Source organism: Homo sapiens, chromosome 10, assembly GCF_000001405.40.
Source record: "Homo sapiens chromosome 10, GRCh38.p14 Primary Assembly".
Classification (NCBI taxonomy): Eukaryota; Metazoa; Chordata; class Mammalia; order Primates; family Hominidae; genus Homo; species Homo sapiens.
Genome location: NC_000010.11, coordinates 117,828,191 through 117,836,323, shown reverse-complemented (window position 1 = coordinate 117,836,323; position 8,133 = coordinate 117,828,191). Strand labels below are relative to the sequence as shown.

The window sequence follows — 8,133 nt, the reverse complement described above, 5'->3', positions numbered from 1 at the left end:
CCAAAATTGACCACATAGTTGGAAGTAAAGCTCTCCTCAGCAAATGTGAAAGAACAGAAATTATAACAAACTATCTCTCAGACCACAGTGCAATCAAACTAGAACTCAGGATTAAGAATCGCACTCAAAGCCGCTCAACTACATGGAAACTGAACAACCTGCTCCTGAATGACTACTGGGTACATAACGAAATGAAGGCAGAAATAAAGATGTTCTTTGAAACCAACGAGAACAAAGACACAACATACCAGAATCTCTGGGACGCATTCAAAGCAGTGTGTAGAGGGAAATTTATAGCACTAAATGCCCACAAGAGAAAGGAGGAAAGATCCAAAATTGACACCCTAACATCACAATTAAAAGAACTAGAAAAGCAAGAGCAAACACATTCAAAAGCTAGCAGAAGGCAAGAAATAACTAAAATCAGAGCAGAACTGAAGGAAATAGAGACACAAAAAACCCTTCAAAAAATCAATGAATCCAGGAGCTGGTTTTTTGAAAGGATCAACAAAATTGATAGACCACTAGCAAGACTAATAAAGAAAAAAAGAGAGAAGAATCAAATAGACAAAATAAAAAATGATAAAGGGGATATCACCACCGATCCCACAGAAATACAAACTACCATCAGAGAATACTACAAACACCTCTACGCAAATAAACTAGAAAATCTAGAAGAAATGGATACATTCCTTGACACATACACTCTCCCAAGACTAAACCAGAAGAAGTTGAATCTCTGAATAGACCAATAACAGGAGCTGAAATTGCGGCAATAATCAATAGTTTACCAACCAAAAAGAGTCCAGGACCAGATGGATTCACAGCCAAATTCTACCAGAGGTACAAGGAGGAACTGGTACCATTCCTTCTGAAACTATTCCAATCAATAGAAAAAGAGGGAATCCTCCCTAACTCATTTTATGAGGCCAGCATCATTCTGATACCAAAGCCGGGCAGAGACAACCAAAAAAGAGAATTTTAGACCAATATCCTTGATGAACATTGATGCAAAAATCCTCAATAAAATACTGGCAAACCGAATCCAGCAGCACATCAAAAAGCTTATCCACCATGATCAAGTGGGCTTCATCCCTGGGATGCAAGGCTGGTTCAATATACGCAAATCAATAAATGTAATCCAGCATATAAACAGAGCCAAAGACAAAAACCACATGATTATCTCAATAGATGCAGAAAAAGCCTTTGACAAAATTCAACAATGCTTCATGCTAAAAACTCTCAATAAATTAGGTATTGATGGGACGTATTTCAAAATAATAAGAGCTATCTATGACAAACCCACAGCCAATATCATACTGAATGGGCAAAAACTGGAAGCATTCCCTTTGAAAACTGGCACAAGACAGGGATGCCCTCTCTCACCGCTCCTATTCAACATAGTGTTGGAAGTTCTGGCCAGGGCAATCAGGCAGGAGAAGGAAATAAAGGATATTCAATTAGGAAAAGAGGAAGTCAAATTGTCCCTGTTTGCAGACGACATGATTGTTTATTTAGAAAACCCCATCGTCTCAGCCCAAAATCTCCTTAACCTGATAAGCAACTTCAGCAAAGTCTCAGGATATAAAATCAATGTACAAAAATCACAAGCATTCCTACACACCAACAACAGACAAACAGAGAGCCAAATCATGAGTGAACTCCCATTCACAATTGCTTCAAAGAGAATAAAATACCTAGGAATCCAACTTACAAGGGATGTGAAGGACCTCTTCAAGGAGAACTACAAACCACTGCTCAAGGAAATAAAAGAGGATACAAACAAATGGAAGAACATTCCATGCTCATGGGTAGGAAGAATCAATATCGTGAAAATGGCCATACTGCCCAAGGTAATTTACAGATTCAATGCCATCCCCATCAAGCTACCAATGACTTTCTTCACAGAATTGGAAAAAACTACTTTAAAGTTCATATGGAACCAAAAAAGAGCCCGCATCGCCAAGTCAATCCTAAGCCAAAAGAACAAAGCTGGAGGCATCACACTACCTGACTTCAAACTATACTACAAGGCTACAGTAACCAAAACAGCATGGTACTGGTACCAAAACAGAGATATAGATCAATGGAACAGAACAGAGCCCTCAGAAATAATGCCACTTACCTACAACTATCTGATCTTTGACAAACCTGAGAAAAACAAGCAATGGGGAAAGGATTCCCTATTTAATAAATGGTGCTGGGAAAACTGGCTAGCCATATGTAGAAAGCTGAAACTGGATCCCTTCCTTACACCTTATACAAAAATCAATTCAAGATGGATTAAAGATTTAAACGTTAGACCTAAAACCATAAAAACCCTAGAAGAAAACCTAGGCATTACCATTCAGGACATAGGCGTGGGCAAGGACTTCATGTCCAAAACACCAAAAGCAATGGCAACAAAAGCCAAAATTGACAAATGGGATCTAATTAAACTAAAGAGCTTCTGCACAGCAAAAGAAACTACCATCAGAGTGAACAGGCAACCTACAAAATGGGAGAAAATTTTTGCAACCTACTCATCTGACAAAGGGCTAATATCCAGAATCTACAATGAACTCAAACAAATTTACAAGAAAAAAACAAACAACCCCATCAAAAAGTGGGCGAAGGACATGAACAGACACTTCTCAAAAGAAGACATTTATGCAGCCAAAAAACACATGAAAAAATGCTCATCATCACTGTCCATCAGAGAAATGCAAATCAAAACCACTATGAGATATCATCTCACACCAGTTAGAATGGCAATCATTAAAAAGTCAGGAAACAACAGGTGCTGGAGAGGATGTGGAGAAACAGGAACACTTTTACACTGTTGGTGGGACTGTAAACTAGTTCAACCATTGTGGAAGTCAGTGTGGCGATTCCTCAGGGATCTAGAACTAGAAATACCATTTGACCCAGCCATCCCATTACTGGGTATATACCCAAATGACTATAAATCATGCTGCTATAAAGACACATGCACACGTATGTTTATTGCGGCATTATTCACAATAGCAAAGACTTGGAACCAACCCAAATGTCCAACAATGATAGACTGGATTAAGAAAATGTGGCACATATACACCATGGAATACTATGCAGCCATAAAAAATGATGAGTTCATGTCCTTTGTAGGGACATGGATGAAATTGGAAACCATCATTGTCAGTAAACTATCGCAAGAACAAAAAACCAAACACCGCGTATTCTCACTCATAGGTGGGAATTGAACAATGAGATCACATGGACACAGGAAGGGGAATATCACACTCTGGGGACTGTGGTGGGGAGGGGGAGGGAGGAGGGATAGCATTGGGAGATATACCTAATGCTAGATGACACGTTAGTGGGTGCAGCGCACCAGCATGGCACATGTATACATATGTAACTAACCTGCACAATGTGCACATGTACCCTAAAACTTAAAGTATAATTAAAAATAAAATAATAAAAATAAATAAATAAATAAATAAATAAATAAACAAACAGTCTGATGTTTGTGCCCCAAACTAGACCAATTAAATCAAAATCCCTAGGGAGGATGCCCAGGTTTGGGTAGTATTTAAAGCTCCCCAGGTGATTTTAAGGTGCAGCCTAGGTTAAGAACCACTGATTTCTCATTCCGTGCACCCTCTCTCCTCAATCAAAAGCTGCACTAGCCATTTCTAGATGACAGTTGGCAACTGAATCTTCAACGAAAAGGGTAAATGAAGGACAGTATGTTTTTTATAAACATAAACTGATTCCACTTAAAGGATTGACTTTTCTATTGAAATTATATCCTTACTGTTTTCTTTTGCATGTTTAAAAATGTTCCTTCTTTTATGAAATGTGGGGGGGGGGGGAGGTGTTGAATGTTATTCATTACAAAATAAAGAGCAACAAACCCTATTTAATACCCTATTTTTTTTCCAGAGATAGAATCTTGCCCTGTTGCCCAGGCTGGAGTGCAGTGGTGCAATCCAGGCTCACTGTAACCTTGACCTCCTGGGCCCAAGGGATCCTCCGACCTTAGCATCCCAAGTAGCTGGGACTATAGGCACGCACCACCATGCTCTGTGCACCTGTAGTCCCAGCAATCCTACCACCTCAGCCACTGCACCCAGCCCTGAATTTTTGAAAAATCCAAAGCCTAAGAATCACAATTCTAGAAAATAGATTCAAATATTTCTGTGGATACAGTCTCCACCGCCTCCCTTCTCTATCCCAACTCCCACCTCCTCAAATTAAAACAAAAGTCGCTTCACTCAGCAAGGTACTACATCATGAGTCAGAACTCAGGAAATGATTCCAGCCTTGGACACAAGCATGTGATAAAATGTAGAAAGACATGGAGTTAGGTTAAATAACACAGGGTGTCCCATTATGTAACATGCTAGATTTTTGAAACAAATGGTGATATTCATGATTAACCTACACTGGCCATCTACAGAGGAGTTTCTTGGACACACGTGATTCTCAAATGTTAGCATGTCTCAGAATCACCTGGAAGGCTTGTTAAACCCTAGATGACTGTCTTACCCCTTGAGTGTTTGATTCACTGGGGCTGGGGTGGGGCCCGAGAAATGTGCATTTCTAACCAGCTCCCAGGTAAAGCTGATGTTGCTTATTCAGGACCACATGGTGAGAACCACTGCTTTAGATAGAGAGAAATTGCTAGAGAAAATGCATTTCTTGCAACAACAACAAAAATGTCTATTTTTCATTTAGTTTGTCTATAGATTATGTGTATCTTCAGCAGGAATAAGTCAGTTGAAGAGAATGATTTGCAGTGATCTTATAAAATCAGTTTTTTAAAACAGCATCATATTTGCTGAGAAGTCCTGGACGGGAAAGGGAATGTCTTGTGTTGGAGGTAGGTGAATAATCTCACGGAGCAGTGGTCTCCTTTGAGGCCTGAACTTCATGTCTTTCAGTGTCTCCTTGGATGTCCCGTCCTTCTCCCACTCCATCTGGGCCTCTGATTCCCAGAGCAGCTCTAATCAGATGCACCTTACCGAAGGCGGGCTCCCTGTTGTCCAATGCGGATCACAGGCCCACTACATTTAGCGGAAGTGGAAAAAAAAAACACCCACGCAGCCCCACTTCGGGACACACCTGCAGCCCAGCGGACAGCCCACCAGCCTCCAAACAGTTCTGCGAAAAATTAGGCTATCTTTCATTAGCTATCTATCATGCGGCCTCCACCAGGCTGCAGGATATGAGGGCCATTTAATTAGGCCCTGCACCACTCTCGGGTGTGAAAAGGCTCTCAAACGCTTTGATTCCCCGCTGCTTCGCAGCAGGAAGTTGTTGGCGATAATTGACATAGGATTTCCTTGTTAACCAGCAGCAGACACGCCGGATTAAAGCGACAGAGATCTCGAGAAGAAAGTGAAAGAGATAAGAAGCTCGGAAGACTTCTGCTTATTTGGCACTTGAGGATGGCAGGAAACAGCAATAACCTACTCAAGTGGCGACTCTAGAGTGGAAGGGCGTCCCCTTATCAGACCTATTTCAGCTTGGCTGATCAAAGATTGACTCCCCGCAAAATCACATAGGCCTGGGGTTTGTTAGTTTATTAAGCAGCAGGTTTTAGGAATTATCACAGGTTTAAAGATGGATTGCAGTTTATGTGAAGGGGGAGAGGATTATCGGGTTTTCATCTTAACAATTATAAAATATCACAGCTGAAAGCTTGCTTGCAAATGACATAATTTTCCACTGCCAACTAAACAGGTCATTGTGAGGCTGCCTGTGAGCGCACTCAACGAGGGAGGAAATACAGGCAAATTAACTCTGGGGAGGACCGGGGATGAGGGGCCTCCACGCCTTGTTCCACTTCGGAAGACGGTGCGATCTCATTTTGCCCTGTGCGATTCCTTAGGTAATTATATTTAATTTCTTACCGGGGCCATTAGGTCGGCTTGCATTAAAAGAGAGGGACGAGAGAAACAGCCCACTGAGATGATTCCTAAAATGCAGTTGTGAGAAATGGTACTGAAATAGAGCCGCAGGACTGGAGTGAAATAAATGTCCACTTTGGAATACAGACAATTATTGTATATCACTTAATAACCTTACAGGAGTACATGTGGCATTAATAAAGGATGCGGAGCTGTAAAAGCGTGTTATGGGACTACCTTTTGACAACTCTATACAGGTCCTGGAATAGCGGAGCCATGAGACAGGTTTGCAGTTCTGCTTGCCTGTGTATGGACTGTGGATCTGTGCTTCAGATAACTACCTCAGCACAAGGGCTTGCATCCTTTCTGGCTTTTAAAAATAGCATTTGCTGGCTTTTGGGTTGGTTTTTGGTTTTTTATTTTTTTAGTTATCATAGAAATAGGTGATGGTGGCAGAAAATTTAGGAACTCCAGCAAAATGTTTAGAATGAATAAAAAGAATACCCCCGTCCACCGAGTGGTAAGCGCTGGTAAAGCCCTCAGATTTTGTTGTTACACAAACACAAATACTTCATTTGTCATGAAATCGGGTTCAGTCCTTGTAATTTTTTGAAATGCAGTTTACATAATAAGGCATGAATTTCCCCTATATTTAGGATATATTATTTGAAGGTATGATTTTGAGTTGTAGCATTACATATGATAATATAATTAACCTAAGTAATCCCCGATAGTTGGACATTCAGATTGTTGTCAATTGTTTGCTATTCAAAGCTAAAATGACCAGCTTTGAACACAATTCTTTATGTGTTTTACTGCTTCCTTGGCAGAGTTGGAATTAAAAGTAGAATTTCTGGCTCAAAAAGCATGGGCATTTTTAAGGACACTGATACCCGCTCACATTTGCAGATTCTCAACATAACTTGGTGTTTTCCTGGTGTTGAAGTCAGAAGCATTTTGTGTCTTCCATCTTGAAATGGGAGCATATGACGGCAGCTATTTTATTTAAAGATCAGTCATTCTATCTTGGGTTCTTTCGTTCTGATCTGACCTTTCGCAGTTAAGCACTGTGACAATGACAATAAACAGTGGTTCAATAATCAAGTTAATAGGGCCAAACTCTGAAGATAATCATGTCAATGTTAACGACTTTAAACATCTTTTATCGGAGAAGTTCAAGTTCCTCTAAGAGCACCAATTCATTATCCTTCACAAGTGCAAAGGGAATTGGTTGAAAAAGCAACAAAAACAAAAACCTTTAAAGCAGACTGAGAGGGAGACAGTGAGAGGGAGGAGGAGAGAAGTTGGTTCTGAATCAAGCTTTTTGTCTAAATAAAATAACCGTTAGGGCCTGATCTAGTATAGAAAAGATGGGTTTTTGGTTTTGTTTTTAAGTTTTGTTTTTAATTTGCTGCAAAAAGGCTGGGGCCTGTGAGCCATAGGTCTTTGAGAATCTACCTTGAAAACAACAAAACAAAGTCATCTTTACATTCTGTGCCCTTAACATCATTCCTGTTTGAACATGGTTTCAGGTATAACATCCAATTGCTCCTGTTGGAAGGGACACTCTGCATGTAAATGGCAGAGACACTCTGGTTCACTCAAATGTATTGTTCCTGAAAGAAAGGAAGTGGTCTGCAGAGGTAAAAGTTTATGCTGCTGAAGGATTTTTCTGCATAATTTTCTCCCAACGAGGATGTAAAAAAGATGCTTTTATTTAACCCATAATTCTTTGGAAAACATCTATCTATGAAAAAAGTAATCTTTTTAATATATCGATGTATGAAAAAATATATGTATCTATGAATTGACCTATAGTTCTTTTTAAAATGTATACCTATAAAATTATTTTTGAAAAACTCAATGTAGGCATTATGTATCTGCTAGCATATTACAAGCAATATTTAATCATTCATTATTTTGAAGCCACTTATATTTTTCCATCTACAGGTAAAGTTGGAAAATGGTTGTTTACCTGTCAGCACCAGAGTCTAAAACTTACTACATTGAAATCACACCAAGCATGAACATAGGGTACCATGTGCCAGAAATTAGCCTGTTTCTGATGGGGAAAAATAAACTGGCATGAAATTTATTTTTCCTAAATGTTCTCTTTTGTCCTTTTTATTTTGAGGTAACCCCTAGTTACTTTATAAGGCAAAATGCAATGAGGTCTTTATCCACAGTGCAACTTAGTAGACTGAAGGCATTTGTAAGTTCTGCTTCACAGTAACCCTGACTTTCAACAGTTTTACTC

General features: G+C 39.7%; 1 annotated feature.

Moving 5' to 3' along the window:
* Window positions 4,659–6,176: an enhancer, noted in NCBI's record as "VISTA enhancer hs1236". NCBI's record gives its function as "enhancer in: forebrain[8/8] | limb[6/8] | tail[5/8]" and the evidence as "EXISTENCE:transgenic organism evidence [ECO:0001131][PMID:17130149]".